At 44.7% G+C, this 19,157-nt stretch overlaps 1 annotated feature.

Moving 5' to 3' along the window:
* Positions 7,499-8,698: an enhancer, noted in NCBI's record as "P300/CBP strongly-dependent group 1 enhancer chr2:238092630-238093829 (GRCh37/hg19 assembly coordinates)". NCBI's record gives its function as "activates an origin of replication core promoter dependent on BRD2, BRD4, P300/CBP, MED14 and CDK7 cofactors, with strong dependence on P300/CBP, by STARR-seq in HCT116 cells {active_cell/tissue: HCT116}" and the evidence as "EXISTENCE:reporter gene assay evidence [ECO:0000049][PMID:35650434]".

Below are 19,157 nucleotides of genomic sequence, written 5' to 3' on the forward strand. Positions count from 1 at the left end.
TGTTATATTGTATTTTTCTACCTAAAGGAAATATGAAGTAACTACAGCAGAATGTTGGATTAATTCAACTCTGGCGTTGTTAACAAAATCATATCCATCCTACTGGATGATGGTTTAGAATAAACTTGCTAAAGAAGAAATTCACACTCTTCCCTAAGTGAGTCTTCTATGCAACAACAGGGAAAAGAGAATTTCAGACATTTCTTTGCTTTTTAATTTATAAAGTGAAGAATATTTTATTTGGATTTTGTTTCCCAGAAGAGAATAGTAAGAGAAGGTTCATATTACTCAAATTTGAAACACTCTTTATTGTATTATGATTATTTGACATCACTATACATCTTAACCTGAGTCCCTCTCAGAAAACAGAGCTAAGACAAGGCTTGTATGCAAATAGTTAGATCAGAGATGTGATCCCAGGTAGCAATAATAGATAACAGAGTAGAGTGAACCAGAGAAAGAGGGAAAACCAATACAGGTGAGATTACTAAGTTGCTCACCATTATGGGTAATTAGAATTTGATCTAACTAGATTCTTCTGAGAAGCCATTAGAATGGGCCTCAGGATTGTCTGCTGAATAGATGGATAGCGGTATTATGCATCAGCTCTCATTCCCTATGGGTCAAGATTTCCTCCTGGGGATGTTAACTCATCTGCACTTCCAGGTTGAAGCAAAGCTGAATGCCAGGCACCCACACCTTAGCCCTGTGGCAAAAAAAAAAAAAAAAAAAAAAAAAAAAAAAACAAATAAATGTGATGTATCTGTGGAGGGAGAGAGATGCCACAGAGGGTGACTAAGAGGTGGGCTGAGAGGGTGTGAAGCAGGGTACAGTGCATCCAGTATACTGCCTAGCCCAATGTATGCTGAAGGACATGGCAAAGAAAGAGAAAATGAATAAACTTTTGACTTGGGGTATGATTTGGACATAGACTTAATTAATACCTTGTTTTGACTTATTTCAAAAGGTTCTGAGGACAGTGAAACAGTTACCCCTCAGGTGGGAGCAGGTCTGGTCTGATACAGTGATGTGGACTCACCTGTAAGGAAGTTCAGTAGTAGCCTTCTGACAAGCTGTTGTTGAGCCCAGTGGGTGGCAAGAGACCAGAATCAGAGGAGTATAGGGGCCACCAGGAAAGGTTAACCTCTCTCTTCCTTTCCCCACATTTCTCTCTTCATCCATGGAGGCAGTAAGTTCTGGCTCTGTCTCCTCATTGGAAATGTCAAGGGCTGGGAGTGGGAGAAAGGAAGTATTCTCCCTCTCTGTTCCCTCGCTAGCTCCTCTTTAACTGGAGAGGGATCACCTACTGGGTCAGATCCCAACTGTCTTTGAACACATTTGTCATATGATGAGGTATTACGGGTAGCATGTTTGTGTCCCCGCAGATTTCCACGTTGAACACTTCATCTTCAATATGATTGTGTTTGGACGTGGGGTCTTTGGGGGTTAATTAGGTCATGAGGGTGAAATTTTCATGACGGGATTAGTGCTCATATGGGAAGAGAGAGCATGCTTCCTCTCTCTCTCTGCTCTGTGAGCATACAGAAAGAGGGCATCTATCTGCATGCCAGGAATAGGGCCCTCACCAGGAACTGACTGTTGGCACCTTGACCCAGCTTCCAGAACTATGAGAAGCAAATTTCTGTTGTTTAAGCCACCCAGCCTATGGTATTTGTTACAGAAGCCCACATTGAGTCAGACAATATGGGTCAGTAGAGGTGGGCAGGCTCCCCTCGCCTCACTCCTCCTCTGCCTTCCTGCCTTGGGAGTCAAGAACATCAGCGGCTTAGATCAGGGTCCCTTGCTCAGTTCTGCCTCCCAGCTGGCCAGGTGGACTTCAAGTCTCCTCTACAGACAATGAGTGTGAGGTGGGAGCACCTTTCCTAAGCCACATCCTCTAACTTGGTGTCGATGGGGGCATCCTGGCATCTCATGGGGCTGGGGAAGATTGCTATCTCTAGCTCTCCTGACCCCGTGCTGTTCCCATTGGCTGTGGATCCTCATGTGAATCATTCCCTTGGAAGGGCCACAGTGGGGAGAAGGAGTAAACAGCGGGATTTGGGCATCACCGCTCATTTTACAGGACTGCCTGTGTAAACAGGTGGTCTAGAATTTAGGAGTTCTGAGTGCTGTATGTCTCTCTGTATACATTCCAGACAGAGACATGACTAACATCTGGCATAATTCTACAGCCTAAGGTAAATAAACATAAGGACAGGGAATGGAAAGGTTGTTGGTTGACTCACTCGGGAACCCAAAACTTCAAAACAGCTGCTCTTCGTATGAGCAAAGTGTGACAGTTTGGAAAAAATAGACATCGTATCAGAAAAGATATAGATTCTTTGAACAACACTTTCAAACCACTTGAATCAGTTGGCATTTATAGAAAACTCCATCTATTCACTGCAGAACACATTGCTTTTGAATGCATGTGGGTTTTTTTTTTCCAAGAAGGTCCCTATGCTGGGCCATGAACTAAGTCAAAATAAAAATTTTGAGTGAAATGTTATAGAGCCTGTTTTATGGTCACAACAGAATTGAATTAAAAGTCAGTGAAAATAGAAGATCTAGAAAGCCTTAGCATATCTCAAGAAGAGGCTGATAGAATTCAGAACTGTGGTTGCCACGGGGAGAGATTAAATGGAAGGGACATAAAGGGACCCTCTGGAGGATGGAGATGGTTTGTCTTGATGGGGTATTGGCTCCGCAGGTATATATGTCTGTCAAAGGTCAATGAAGTATACACTAAAGTTATGTGCATTTTGCTGTACATAAATTTCACCTCGATTACAAAAATAACTGACGCATCTTCTAGAGTCCTTGCTGACTAAGATGCTGACAAATAACCTATTTGACTTTATGTCTTCATTTGTACTTGTTGTTACAGCACAATTTTTTATATTCCCTTTCATACCCGAAAGTGTCTTGATTTATGCAATAAACCTATGTTCCCTCTGTCTCTGATGAGTTGGTTACTAAGTAGGGCCCGGAGGAGGTAAGATGCTTCCAGTGCCCATTGGAAGCAGGAGAGGTCAAGTCTAGGTCCAATTTGGACATTAGATGTTACTACTCTGGGAGGGAAGGTGGGCTCGACTTTGTTTAAACAGTGATTAATATTGGGAGACCCAGATCTCACTGGTTTCGTATCCATGACTTTGGGGCCCTCACTCAAAAAAATCTAAAGCATGTGTTAAAAAAATAATGTATTAGCCCAAAATGAGATGTAAAATTGGCACACAAGCAACAGGGCCCCATGTCCAGGGTTGTGAGCAATGGAAGATGGAAAACTAGAAGGGGCCCAAGGAAGGAGAGGAGGCCTGTGCTCTCCGGGGAGGGCCCAACTAAGTGAGCTGTCAGGAAGACATGAACCACAGGCAGCCCCTAATCAGAGAGAAGGGCATGGGATCAGGGGGTGATCTCAAAACGTACCTAGGATTGTCAGAGGGGACACCACATCCTCAAGAAGAGGCAGAACCTTCGCAACTGGAGAACACCCTACTGCTTCTGAGACTAGGACAAGAGGCTGACTATGGGAGGAAGGAAGGAAGCCTGCTGGAGGCCGGGTGAACTGGGCCAAGTCAGTGGGGAAGCCTCCATGGATGGCTGAGGGACTGGTGTGTCATGGAAGCTTTGAAGGTGGGAACTTGCGGGCCAAGGCATATACATGAGGAAATCCAGTTTTAAGCCGTGAGGCGAAGGGAGGAGATGCTGGATTTGTGGGGACTATTTAATCTAATAGAGATTAGATAACTGGTCATATTAAAAGTTATAATAGATGTGTTCCTCAGTAGATGATAATGAAGGGTATATGTAACAGATTTTGCATCTCAAACTTTACAAGCCACTGAGAAAACCGAGAAAGACCCAACATAAACATGAAACCCAGCTGCCCGAGCCCGGGTCCTATTCCCTTTCCTGGGAGCCTCTTGGCCGCTGTCTCTTCCTGAGTTAATCTTACACAATATAGCAGTGTTCTTCAGTCTTGACTCGTGCATGAACTGTTCTCAAAGGAAAAATGCTTGCTGACTCCCAAAATGTATTAAATTACTTCCATTTTAATGTTATTTAAATATGCATTTATTATCATGTTATTTAAGCACATGAACATGTAAAAAAAAAGCATAGGTACAAATTCCTTATACTTAATGGCTCAAGTTCCTTTATAAAACCACATGGACAAAATTATGATTTGTGGAAAAATTGTGTGCCTCATTATGACTGACTTCTTCACCAATTCTCCCAGTTTCCCCATTTCACCTCTTACCCCGTTTGTATAAAGGGCTGGGACTTCATTTACCTCACTTGGAACAAATGTGTTACATGCACTGCTCTTATCTCATTAGTTTATAAGCAAAGTGAATGCAATTAATAAGATCATAGACACAATCTCAAACATGCACATAGGAAGCGTGTGACAGCGTCAGCATAAGGTGGTTATACACATGCTCCAGGAGATGCTTATGCTCATTTCGTTATGTTATCATCATCTCAGGTTTCACTAAGTAGGAAACTACCCCAAAAAACTTAGTGATTTAAAGCAACGCTTATTCATTAGCTCGTAATTCTGTGGATTGGCAATTCAAGCTGAGCACAGTTGGGCAGTTCTTCTACTAGACTTGCCATAGCCCTCTTAGGTGGCTGTGGTCACTGGATCCTAGATGGCCTCACTCATGTGTTTGGCAGTTGGCTGGGATGGCATAAGTCCAGCTTCTAGCTGACCAGCCCTACCTTCTTCCCATGGCTGCTGGGTTCCAAAGTCAGCAAGAGAAGACAAACCCTAAGGGGACAACCTTTCTCAAGCTACTGCTCATGCCATATTTGCTAGTGACTTATTGGCCAAAACAAGTGGTGTGACCAAGTTTAGCTTCCAGGGAGAAATAGACTCTGTCTCTCAATGGGAGAAAGAACAAAACTTTACAACCATATTATTTTTTTCAGTATGCCAAAGTTATAAAAGTAAAATCTTCAAATTAAAAAAAAATATTCAGGCTAGGCATGGTGGTTAGTGCCTGTAATCCCAGCACTTTGGGAGGCAGAGGCAGAAGGATTGCTTGAGGTCAGGAGTTCAAGACCATCCTGGACAATATAGCAAGACCTCTCTAAAAAAATAAAAAAAAAATGCACAAATAAAAATTTTTGTAGAACATTTACAGACTTCTGAAAACACTTTTTTGAACACCCTTCATAATGAATACTGAGGAAAAGGGGTCCTTATGCAAGGGACCCTCTTAGTGGAAAAGAATGAGCACTTGTTGTTATTGCTCTATGTGATGCTCCAAATAACACTTAGAGATTGGCAAGTGATCATTCAGATTAAGTAGCATTTGGACTCAAATGCTGCTGTGTAGCTCTTTGCTATGTGATATTAGAAAACATAAAAGCATAGGGGAAAGTTCTTAATTTCTGGGTTGTCACTAAAAGTCTTCAGAGACAGAGGGAGGGCCCCAAACATAGCAAGAGATCAGAGAGTTCAGATCACTGATGACTCACTGCTGAAGTCCTCCACAGCTTAGGGGAAGCCTTGGGAGTTAGGGAAGTCGCGGGTGAGAGCTGTGGGAGCAAACGAAGCTTTGATGTCATACAGGAGGATTGCATCTTTCTTGAGGTCAGGTCAGGGAAGCTACAATTGGATCATTCCTCAGGCCAAGGGCTGTGGGAAAAAAAAAATCTACAATCATTCCTGGAGTTAATAGGTTTTTAATCATGACTTTTTCCAAGAGAGAAAAAGCCCAAACCTTGGTGCTGCTTATACGAGAAACCCCCCGGTCCTGGACAGAGATGGTGAGTTGACTGCCAGCTCTGCCCACAGCAAATGCTAGGAAAACTTGTCTCCTCCACCTGGGGAAATGTGGCCACCCCACAGCCACTGGGTCTAGGCCAGATAAAGGTAGAGTATGAGAAGAACTGTGGCATGTGCTATTTATTTATCACTAAGCTCTCCCCAGCACAGAAGTGAAGTTTGAGTTATGTAAAAAAGTCTCCCAGTTTCTGGGAAATGATCTGCAACATCGCAGAACAAAACGTCCAGATCAAAACTCATAGGTTTATGGGTTCAGGGAGAACATGCTCCGAGGCCAGTCGTGTTGGGGATGTCCCCCTCTGCGTCATAATCATAGCCGCATGTGTGCAGCACAAGCAGCTGGAACGTCCAGGATGATCTACATGGGAACGACTGTGCCTCAGCAACATCCCTCAGCCCTACCAACCAGGCAGGGAAGTCTGGCATAGGAGAGAGGTTCACGTCATGGGACTGTGGGACTTCACAGTCCACTGTGGACACAGAAGAAGCAGCTACAGGGCATGTTAGTGAGCAAGTTTCCATGATGGGCAATGGAAACTCAGCCCCATGGGGAAGCTGTATGCAGCTGGCCTGAAGGGGCAAGGAGCCTGGGGACTGGACCACCACCTCCTACCCGCCATTGGCTTAGGGTGGCTTCCAGGGTGTTAACTCCCTGCATGAAGTCCTGGCCTGCCTCATGCCATGGATGGACATGCTTCTGGCTGACGACTCTCTGCAGGCGGAAGGTTGTGAGCCCCTGCAACAGAAGGCTGTCCGCGTGGAAGGGAACAGTGAGGGCTGAGGGAACAGAGGTGGGGGACTGACTGCTTCCGCCACATCCTGCCCAAGACCAGCAATGCCCCAGGTAGCGACTTTTCCGTCTTATTGCTTACTTAGGTTAGCTTGTTGGCTAGCTAGTGAGTTGTAAGTCACTGGAGTTTGGGGTCGTACCTGTAGAATAACCTAGCCTATTCTGACTGATCTCTGTGGAAATAAATTCAAATGGACAATCTCTCTGCCAGTGGGCACAAAAGAGCAAAAATTTTTTCTTGGTGGAGGTGAACAAAGTGGGTAGAAGTTTCACCTTGTGGGCAGGGACATCTACGATCCAGTGCTGAGAACGGCAGCACAGCATGGCGGCTACAAGTGTGGACTCAGGTTTGAATCCCGGCTCTCCACTTACTAGTGCTGTGTTCTTGTGAAGTCGGCTTCTGTCTCTAGGCTTTGATTTCCTCATCAGTAAAATGCAGGTGATACTAGTAGGTTCTGAAGGTCAATTAATATTTGAAAGCATTTAGAGTAGTGTCTTGTGATTAAATGCTTATTATCCAAACAAACAAAGACAGAAACTCTAAGAATGCACCGCTTCCCAAGAAGTCCAGAAATTTTGGACCCGGGTGTTTGTCCAGCCCTTAGGAAAAACTTCAGGAGAAACCTGTGTGAGCTGACAGACATTTCCCTGATTTCCCTTACAGTACACGACCTTTCCCCCTTGGCAATCTAACCAAGAGGCCAAATAATATCTAAAGAAATAAACCAGTAAGTATAACTTGACTGGTTCTCCACAGTTTCGGGTGCAAGCACCATCCCCCAGCCACTTCTCAGTGTGCACTGAGCCCATCTGCTGCCAATGACACAGAGTTAATAGCCTCCAAAGAAGTCCATCCCATTCTCCTCACAACCTTCCACCTCCTTTCCCCCAAATTCTCCAACTTCCCCACCTGTGTGTTCAGGGATCCCGGAGTAATCACGTGGTCCTGTCCTTGTGAACACAGCAGTAGGGTCAGTTGGAATCAAAGGTTTCCATCTCCACTTGGGTCCAGGCCTTAATTTTCAGGGAAGGGTTTCTGAATGGTTTTTTTCCCCTCAAATATGAGAAAAGTAAATAGAGTTTTGTAGGATGTCTCTGTCTCTTTTGCACATCATTTTGCTGTTTCTAAGAAGAGGTTACCTCCCATCTATGCCTCTCCTTTGCTGTGTATAGGGTTTTTTGGGGCCGGGAGTTCAGTTCCTCTGACCAGTTATGGAGGCTCTGCATGCTCTCAGCTCGGTCCAGGCTCTGGAGATGCGCTGCTGTGGACCATGCGTCTCTCCGCCCTTGCCGAGGTTAAGGTCAACATTCTTAAGTATACTGAGATATACAGTAAAGGCCTAATGTGAGTCACCTCTGATTCCCTCACTCTTAGTCACGAAGGGAGTGGAAAGAGGAGGCCCTCACTGAATGCAGTAAGTGGCCACCACTGGTACACTTGGTAGCTCCTCCAGTTAGCATACAGCTAAATTATTTACACAGGAGACAAAACTTTTTACCAAACCTAACTCAAAGAGGAAACTGAATTGCCTAACTCAAAGAGGAAAAGGGGCAATGACATTTAAACAAAATTATACTCATTGACTGGGAACAGACTTTCTTTTTCTGAGACCAGGTTTTGATAAGGCAGAAGCAAGGAGGGAGAGGACATGAAACCCTCAGCTACGGAAGGGTGTGGCACCCGCGGTGTAGATGAGAGAGCGGCACAGATCACTTGGGACGTGGAGTCATTATTGAACATGCCAGAGAAAAACTCCCACCATTATCGATTTGTTTTGGGGCTATTCGGCAAGGATAAACAACTTCCTATCAAACACTTCCCATCTGCTCCAGTTCCTTTGTTCCAGAAGAGATTGTACCAACACGTGGATTAGCTCTTCTTCTTGGGAGTATTCAAACTGAGGAAATGAAGAGAAAAAAAATTAAAAGATATCCTTGCTTCAGGTCAGGAAATAAATTGGCCACTCCTCAAGAATGCAGCCTGATGCTCAGCCTAGCAGTGAGCAGGGCTTCAGTTCCATCTTCCACATTTGAGATCCGTCTGGAATGTAGGGAAGGAGAAGGACTATGGATTTGAAAAGGGAGTTACACGGGTTAATTTGGGGGGTGTTCAGCCTTCCTTCTTAGGAGCTGAACTTGGATGTCTGCTTTTAAAATTTTGTTATCCAAGTGGAATTTAACCAAATATTCCAGAGTAGTACTTTGTATTTTCATATATCCTAGAAAAGTCTATAAAGACAAGAGAGCACCGGATAGCACACCTGTAGCCGCAGATCTCAAAGCTGACTGCATCCGGAGCACAGATTTGAGGCTCTGATGTCAGACGGACTGGGGTTTTCATGCAAACGCTGACACTTTCAGATGTGTTATCTTTAACCAGTTGTGTAAGTTTCCTGAGATTTTATTTTTTTCATCTGCAAACGGAGGTGGTAACTATGTCCTCCCCAAAGAGTAATTTTTGAAATTTATCTGATAATTCATGTACGGAGCCTGACACGTCCCCTGATACTTAAGACACTCAATTTCAAACCGTGCTGTTGATGAAACTCCACATCTCTTACGTGTATCTTCTTTGACTATGAAGAAATGAGGAAAGAAAAGGAACTTATCTATTGTTTCTCATGTTGAGATGGGCGAATAAGCACAATAGCTGGATGGTTCCTGTTTGTCTCACAGGACTCACGCCCTCAGTATTTCACTGTTACTTCTCTCTTTCACCCTTAATCCCCTCTGGGAACATCTTTAGAGAGAGTTGTTTGAAAGCCAACACTTACTTTTCAATTTTCCAAGACATATTGTTATCTATTTAAGAAGCAATTATAAGTAACGTTAGGGACAAAGGTGCTCTTTATGTTGGGTAAATTTTCACTGAGGTCCTGGGAAAGTGGTAAAGATGAAATAAGATCATTCTGGCTGATGAGAAAAGCTGGCTGCCTTTCAACACTTTAAATCCCTCGTTTAAAACAATTTGAGCTTATTTTGGGGTGTAGTACTTTTTATGGCTTTTGTTCTTGAATTTGTTGAGCTTCTTGGGTCTCAATTTTCATTGGTTTTGATAATTTCTGTCCATTTCTTCAATATTATTCTTCAAATATATTTCTTCAAATATTCTTCCAATATATGTGTAATTGGGATCTCCAAAGGGGATTTTGAAAGCTCATTTTGCTTCCCTGTGGTGAAGAATTGGCAGCCATGGGTAAGCAGGGAATCAGACAGATGCGGGTGGGTGTTATACATTAGAACACTGTTGCAGGAGTTTAGGTGAGCAATGAGCAGGGTAACACTGACCAGGGTAATGCCAATAGAGATGAAGAGAATTCGACTGATTTGAGAGATATTCATAAGGCAGGCCCATGGCTTTTGCAGTCATGGGTGTGAATGAGCTCAGCCACGGTGAACTGTATATTCTGAGTAGGAGAGCAACTAGGACGAAGCATTCAGCAATCAATATGAAATATCTAGGCAGAAGAAGATGAGCCTACAAGAAAGTGAGAAATGTCAGTAAAGTCAGGCAGAAAGCCAGGAGAATATGTTATCACAAACATTAAGGAAATAATATGCTTCCCTCATCATGGAGTGGACAAAAGTGAAGCAGAAAGCATTCTTTTGACTCCATCTTTTCACCCCAACATGCAAACCTGCCCTTTGACTATACTTTTAGCCCTAGAGATTTTTCACTCTATCTGCAGACTTTCTGTCTCTTTTGACTCAAATTCTATGTATGTCTCTGATTTTTCTCCAGCTCCCTCCCTTTCTCTTCTATCTTCATCTTTTAATCTTAATCTTTTCTCTCTCTCAAAAAAAACCTTGCTTGAAATGTTGTTATAGATCTTCAAATTCACAGAAGTCCTTTATCTAATTTATAGTCATAACATTTGCAGAAAAATTAACACAAAATTAAACTGACAACTAAAACCATACAGTGTAAAAGTTGTTATTGACTGAAACGTTGAATAGAAACATTTAAAGCATATCATTCTGTGGGAGATGATCCTTAAAAAAAAGTATGATTTGGCTTCTTTAAAAAGGTGAGACAGTAAAGACCTAGACAGTGCAACTTACCTAAAATAGTACGGTGAATCCATATAAATGCATTTAAAATTGACAAGTTCTCTCCTGGATGCACCACTTTATGCTTTTTTTTTTTAATTTTAAGATTTGCAAAAAACAAATCTTCCTTCCTAAATTTAGACATTCAAAATTTGGTATAAAAATAAGACTGGATAGAAACAATGGATAATGGCCACAAAAGGCAAATTTATAATATCAGAAACAATGACAGGTGAGCTTAACATTAGTTGAGGATTCAGATAGTGATCTTCAGGATAAACCTTTCCACATAAATGAAGAAAATTGGCCTTGAGAAAAATATTTTCAGTAAAATGAGAATAGAAAAAAAAAGGAAGAGCATTTCATTTTGATGTATAGGAAATTGAACAAAGAATTATATTTCTAATGGAATTGACTCTAGGAAATAACTATTTCACAATAAATCCATCAGTGCTCTTGTGACTCTGATTTAAATGTTTCTATTCAAAATATCATCAGGGTAAAAAAATTCCTCAAGTCAAAAACCTCATGAGTGAACTCCCATTCACAATCGCTTCAAAGAGAATAAAATACCTAGGAATCCAACTTACAAGGGATGTGAAGGACCTCTTCAAGGAGAACTACAAACCACTGCTCAAGGAAATAAAAGAGGATACAAACAAATGGAAGAACATTCCATGCTCATGGGTAGGAAGAATCAATATCGTGAAAATGGCCATACTGCCCAAGGTAATTTACAGATTCAATGCCATCCCCATCAAGCTACCAATGACTTTCTTCACAGAATTGGAAAAAACTACTTTAAAGTTCATATGGAACCAAAAAAGAGCCCACATCGCCAAGTCAATCCTAAGCCAAAAGAACAAAGCTGGAGGCATCACACTACCTGACTTCAAACTATACTACAAGGCTACAGTAACCAAAACAGCATGGTACTGGTACCAAAACAGAGATATAGATCAATGGAACAGGACAGAGCCCTCAGAAATAACGCCACATATCTACAACTATCTGATCTTTGACAAACCTGAGAAAAACAAGCAATGGGGAAAGGATTCCCTATTTAATAAATGGTGCTGGGAAAACTGGCTAGCCATATGTAGAAAGCTGAAACTGGATCCCTTCCTTACACCTTATACAAAAATCAATTCAAGATGGATTAAAGATTTAAACGTTAGACCTAAAACCATAAAAACCCTAGAAGAAAACCTAGGCATTACCATTCAGGACATAGGCATGGGCAAGGACTTCATGTCCAAAACACCAAAAGCAATGGCAACAAAAGCCAAAATTGACAAATGGGATCTAATTAAACTAAAGAGCTTCTGCACAGCAAAAGAAACTACCATCAGAGTGAACAGGCAACCTACAAAATGGGAGAAAATTTTCGCAATCTACTCATCTGACAAAGGGCTAATATCCAGAATCTACAGTGAACTCAAACAAATTTACAAGAAAAAAACAAACAACCTCATCAAAAAGTGGGCAAAGGACATGAACAGACACTTCTCAAAAGAAGACATTTATGCAGCCAAAAAACACATGAACAAATGCTCAGCATCACTGGCCATCAGAGAAATGCAAATCAAAACCACAATGAGATACCATCTCACACCAGTTAGAATGGCAATCATTAAAAAGTCAGGCAACAACAGGTGCTGGAGAGGATGTGGAGAAATAGGAACACTTTTACACTGTTGGTGGGACTGTAAACTAGTTCAACCATTGTGGAAGTCAGTGTGGCGATTCCTCAGTGATCTAGAACTAGAAATACCATTTGACCCAGCCATCCCATTACTGGGTATATACCCAAATGACTATAAATCATGCTGCTATAAAGACACATGCACGCGTATGTTTATTGCGGCATTATTCACAATAGCAAAGACTTGGAACCAACCCAAATGTCCAACAATGATAGACTGGATTAAGAAAATGTGGCACATATACACCATGGAATACTATGCAGCCATAAAAAATGATGAGTTCATGTCCTTTGTAGGGACATGGATGAAATTGGAAATCATCATTCTCAGTAAACTATCGCAAGAACAAAAAACCAAATACCGCATATTCTCACTCATAGGTGGGAACTGAACAATGAGATCACATGGAGACAGGAAGGGGAATATCACACTCTGGGGACTGTGGTGGGGTGGGGGGAGGGGGGAGGGATAACATTGGGAGATATACCTAATGCTAGATGACGAGTTAGTGGGTGCAGGGCACCAGCATGGCACATGTATACATATGTAACTAACCTGCACAATGTGCACATGTACCCTAAAACTTAAAGTATAATAAAAAAAAACCTCATATTAACCCTAATTTATTTGCAGGGAGTTGTGCAAAATGATCTTCTGACCCAAAAGTTTTACTTAATGATTTTTCTCTTTTATTTCCAGTTTTGTTTGTGTGTATTCTCTCTTCCATTTCTGGCTAACATATCTGAGTACCTTTTATAAGGTTAATGTTAACAATTTGGTAAAGAAATTATTTACACATATGATGTTTTGTGTATGATAGGAAGTTGAAATATTTCTATCTGAATAAACAAAAAATGAACTAGTCTGTAAGTGCACAAAATCTTTTTCCACCTGTAAAATCCATCTAATTTTATTCCATATAAATGCATTTAAGATGGGCAAGTTCTCTCCTAGAGCCACCACTTCATGCTTTTTAAATAGAGCAATATTCTCAGTGAAGTACATTTCATAGGATTACATGGATTCCTTTTAATTCGTGTCTTTCTTTTAATAAGAAAAGAAAAATATTCTCCTGGGCTAAAAACTGGGCGGCAAGTCTGGGGATGATGTTTTCCTTCTTATTCCCTCTGCGATTCACCATATTATTTTAGGCAAGTTGCACCGTCTGGGGCTTCACTATCTCTCCTTTTTAAAGAAGTCAAATCACACTTTTAAGGATCATCTCCCCACAGAGGCTGAGAAAATCTAGCAGTCATGCTTATGAATACAGAAGATGAACTTTAGGCCTGAGATTTTCCTCCCATTGGAAATCAAGTCTTGAATGCCTAGAGGGCTGGAATTCTGTCACGGAGTCCCCTGTAGCTCCCCAAGGTGACTGAGGGAGGGTTCAAATTTTCCCCTTACTGTTGGCTGCATCCTGGAGCCTGGTGGATGGAAAGGCTTTCCCTTAGTGGAGGAAAATCATCTCTGAGGTCAGGGAGGTGCATTTGCTTCTCTGTAGGCACCTACTGACAACAGTCCTTGGTCCTGGAATATTGAGATGTTATTTGCAATAATTTATGGGCATGGACGGTTGGAGTGAGGGTGATGGAGAAAAGCCACAGGCAGCTCTCCTGGGCCTCCCAAGCATGGCTGGAGGCTGAAGCCCCCTAGTTATCTGCCTGAAACTACCTCATCAGGGTGGACTGAAGGATTTGTGTCCTCAGCCATGTCCAGGGCCTTCTTCCTGTAGGTATGGACTCCCATGTTTTTTGTTGTTGTTGTTGTTGTTTTGTTTTGTTTTGTTTTTTGAGGCAGGGGCTTGCTCTGTCACTTGGGCTAGAGTGCAGTGGCACCATCACAGCTCACTGCAGCCTTGACCTCCTGGGCTCTAGCAATCCACCAGCCTCAGCCTCCCAAGTAGCTGGGATCACAGGCTGGCACCACCACACTCAGCTAATTTTTCTGGTTTTTGGTAGAGATGGGATCTTGCTATGTTGCCCAGGCTGGTCTCAAATTCCTAGGCTCAAGAAGTCCTCCCACCTCAGCCTTCCAAATTTCTGGAATTACAGGTGTGAGCCATGTGCCCAGGCCAGAGTCCTGTGCTTTTACTTTTCTCAACATCTGAATAGAAAGTCTTCTCAGCTCTTGTCACTTAATTGGAGAAATGGCCAGTTCTGGGATCATAAGGAAAACATCTCATCCCTTAATAGCAGGACCAGATTGTAAGTCAGTGGGGTGTTGCCCTGGCCAGGGAGACTCTTGTGTTCTTGGATCAGGTTGATGGAGCCTTGCTTCCTGAGAATTGGAGCGAATATTCCAGGCTAGAAGACCAGTGGGAGAGGCAGCCCAACCCCTGAGCAGCAGGCTGTGCTCTGCGCCCACAGGGCCCATCCACGTGAGGGCCTTCCCCAACAAACGATCTTCTCTGCTCTCAGCCAGGCAGAGACAGCAGCACCCTTACAGCTCTCCAAGTGCCTTTGGTATTGCCTCAATATCTAATTTCAGTTCTGTTTTTCAGGGTGTCAGACAAGTTGGAAAAATTAATTTCATAGGTTTTGAGAATAAAATGTGTGTTATGACAGAATCCCAGAAAACAAATAGTTTGGAAGTCGCCCTCCATCTTCAGGAAACGCAAAAGTCCAGTTGCTGACTTATCTTGTTAACAGGAGGAGAAGGAAGCTTCTGTAAATCTAGCCCCGAGGATTTCTTTCAAGGCCAGCTGGCTGGACCTCATAGATATCTCTTCTTGGACATATATCCAAGCTCACAAACCAAGCTGTTTTCAGAGAAGTTCAGCTAAAGGCTGACAAATTCCACTTTTTTATTTCACTAGAGGAAATAGTCTGTTTTTCAGAATACTCATAACTAGAAATTTATATATATTCTGCTGTAAAAATGGAATCTGTTTTTCTGACTGTATAAAACTTAGAGTGAAGGCAGTGTCTGGCCTCAATCTACACCAAGGGCTGGAGCAGTCACAGCCCTCACGGTGGCTCCACTGCCACTGTAGGCCGGGCTGCCCCATCTGCTCACAGGACTGACTGTTCTTCCTTTCAAGTTCTCTGTGATTAAGACCAGCCTGTGGGATGCGGGGAAGGAGGAACTCAGCCCCTCCTCAGAAGCTGGCTCCTCTTTCTTACTCCCACCGCCCCCGGGGATGGGATTTCCCATGACCAGACCCGGGCTGGGAAATACCCCTCCCTGCCTCACCTTCCCCTTCAACACAGCGGCTCGGCAGTGAGGGTCTGTGAGGCATCTTTAAGTTCTGTCTGTGATTTAACTCAAGCAAAACTTGGGCCTCAGCTGTCCAAGCTCAGCATGAAGTCCATTCAGTGAAACAATCCAGAAGTATTCCAAGCAGCCCAAATCTTCCCCATGTCGGTCACCAAATATCAAAAAGAAGGCAGTGCATCCTGGATTCCTACAGATTCTGAGCACCTGGTGGTCCCAGGTGCTGTACGTTGAGCTCTGTCTCAGGAGGGGCTGCTGTATAGCACATCCCTCTGCTCACGTGAGGTATTGAGCTCCAGTTCAAATGCTGTCATTTCCCCCAAAGAGATTTAGGCAATCAAGTCATTCTTTTAGATACTAACTGTGTATTGAAAACCCACTATCTGGCTGGGTGCAGTGGCTCATGCCTGTAATCCCAGCACTTTGGGAGGCTGAGGCAGGTAGATCACCTGAGGTCAGGAGTTCGAGATCAGCTTGATCAGCATGATGAAACCCCATCTCTACTGAAAAAAAAATACAAAAAATTAGCAGGGCATGGTGGCACATGCCTGTAATCCCAGCTACTCGGGAGGCTGAGGCAGGAGAATCGCTTGAACCCGGGAGGCGGAGGTTGCAGTGAGCAAGATCATGTCATTGCACTCCAGCCTGGGTGACAAGAGCGAAACTCCATCTTAAAAAACAAACAAACAAACAACAACAAAAAAAGCCCACTAAGGGGTTTCCCAGGTACTGGGAATAGAATAGGAATCAAATCATTTTTTAAAAATCCCTCTCCTCTCAACAGAGCTTATATTTTAATAGGAAAGATGGACAATAAATAAAATAACTGAGTACAACAAGCAGGAAAAGTGGGCGTGAAGAGCAGAGCAGGGGGTGATGTTTAAACTGCAGCAAGGAAGCAGAGGGAGCCCTCACCCAGGGGTAATTCTAAGCATGCCCTGCCAGGGCAAGGAAGGAGCCAAGCTGCCAGCTGGGAAAGGATGCTCTGGGGGAGCCACCCGTGCAAGGGCCCTGAGGTAGGACTGCGCCTGTCATGTGTGAGCAGCTGCATGGCGAGCTCCCGGCCTGAGTGGGCGAGTGAGGGAAGGTTGCAGGAGGCAAGGTGAGCATTGTCGGTGCTGGCAGCAGGATGGTGCGGGGCACTGCAGGGGCTTTGGCTATTTCCTGAATGCAATGGAAGACATTGCTGGGTTTTGAGGAGAAAAATGGCATCACCTGAAATGTGTGTAGCAGAATCGCAGTGAGAGCTCGTTGAGAACAGACTGATGGGGGCAGAGGCAGAAATGGGAACTCAGTAAGAAGCTTGCTGTAAGAATCCAGGCCAGAGCCAACGCTGATGGAGGCTTGGGCTGTGGTGGAGGTGGTGGAGATGGCAAGGTGGTCAGATTCTGGACTTTATGTGAGGGCAGAGATGACAGGGTGGAAGTGAGGCTTTCTGGCCGGATCCCCTGGAAGAACGGATTTTCCCTCAGCTGAGAAGCAGAAGGCTACGGGATGAGCAGGTTTGCAGGGACGGGTGATGAGGAGCTCAGTTTTACACGTGTTAAGTGTGCTGTGTGTGTAAGCCCACCAGAGAGGGGGCATTACATAGGCAGGTGCAGGCACAGGCAGGTGCAGACACAGGTAGGTGCGGACACAGGTAGGTGCACACACAGGTAGGTGCAGACACAGGCAGGGCTCAGGGGAGAGGAGCCGGGGGCTAATACTTGAGAACCATCAGCCCTTGAGGATATTCCAAGTCCTGAGGCTGGATGAGATCATCTGGGTTTTAGGGGAGAGGGGACAGAGAAGCAGTCTCAGGACCCTGCCCTGGGCCACTCCAGCGATCATAGACCAGGGACATGTACCAGGCCTACAGGGGTCATGACTGGCTCTGCCGGCTGCATGGTTCCACCAGCTACCCAGCTCCACCTGCACACATTTGGCTTTACCTCACGGGGTGCTTTCTCCCTCTGCGGCCCACTTCACTCCAGCTCAGCCCCAAGAATGTGGGTGGCATGAGGACAGAAAACCTTCTCTCTCTTCACAGCTGGTGTAAGACATGAAGAAGAGCATTCCACCCATGGCAGGTCTCAGTGAGGGTTTGTTTGATGCAGTGGTGCCATGGGGCTGGGCCCAGCCTCCGTCGCCTGGAGGGACTCACCTGCCCCAGCTGCTGGGAGCATGGGCTGCTGGGAGCATGGGCTGCTGATGGCTCCTGGCCGCATACCCTGCCGGGGACTCCCCTGAGGAGCTGCCTGACTCAGAGTTCTCCTGCTCCCAAAGGTGTTCCACAGCCAATGCCTGGCAGCCTGGGGACACAGAACATGGAGGCACAATCCCTGGCCCAAGCTGGGACAACCTTGAGAGACCCTCCCAGCTGCAGAGCTACGGGCAGGTTTTGTTGGGCTTTATTTGCAGCCTCATCCATGGGCCAGCTCCCACTGTGTCCATTCCTGCCTCCCCCTTCCAGTACGTGGGGGTCTCCTGGGTGCAATTCTCAGTAAACCTTCTTCAGGCAGCTTCCCACCTTTGGTTCTGTTCCAGAAAACCCAAGCACACACACTGTATGAATGAACACATGAATGCTCCAGGCCTCAGCTAAAATTCCACCTTCTTAGAAAAGTTTTCTCAGTCTCCCTGCAATAAATCCAGGCCCCTGTTAGATGGTTTCGTGGCTCCCTGTACTTTTCTTCGCAGCACTGATTGCTCTGTTATTTGTATGACTTTTTACTAATGTCTGTTTCCCCTAGCCCGTGTGTTCCATGACGGCAGGGACTAGGTGGGTCTTGCCTGGCACCTGATAGAAATTTAGAAAGTATCAGTTGAAGGAGTGAGTCTGCCAGCAACAGACAGTCTAGGTGTAGCTGAGCTAGAGTCACCCAGGAGCACAACCCTTGAAAGGCGTCAGGTCGCAGTATGAAAATGCCTGTAGGGTTCGGCTGCCTGGAAAAGTCCCTGATCTAGCCCTGGAGATGGGCTTCAGGGGCTCCAGCTGTGGCTATGGGTGGGGAGGGGGTGCTCCCCAGCTAGCCCTCCCTCGTTCGCCCTGGGGCTGGCATTTCTTGGCATGCTCCCCACCTCCCACCTGCAACTGAAACCCCCAGTGTGGGGCTGCAGCCACTGGCATGTGACTGTGTTCTGCCTGAGGATAAATGTTGGGAAAAAAAATAGAGGGAAATGACAGCAACCTCCCTGCAAGGAAAGTGGAGAAACAAAAGGCCAGGAATGCTTTTCCAGAACAAGGCATCAGGGTTTAGTGAGACAGAGCCGGACTCCATCTCCATGGAAAAACAGTTAGCCTCTGCCTTACCAGCATGTGGGCACTCTCTACAGGTTTTTGCCCAAGCTCTGGCAGGCTCCCAGATGGTCTTCGAGGTGCATGTTCAGGGCAGCTTTGTGCGGATGTCCTAAAGACGTTGCACTCAGGGGCTGTCTTCAGTGTCACATGGCCCTGAGGCATATGAAAACACTGTGCAGGAGAGGAGCCTACTTTAGGGGGTAGAGCAAACTGGCTAGCTCTGTCTTCTATCAGCAATGCAACCTGGAGAGGCCTTTCTTGAGACAGCTGTTTGGCCACCTGAGTCAAGCCTGCCTTCCCCCTGGGATCCCATGATTC

This window comes from Homo sapiens, chromosome 2 (assembly GCF_000001405.40).
Source record: "Homo sapiens chromosome 2, GRCh38.p14 Primary Assembly".
NCBI lineage: Eukaryota > Metazoa > Chordata > Mammalia > Primates > Hominidae > Homo > Homo sapiens.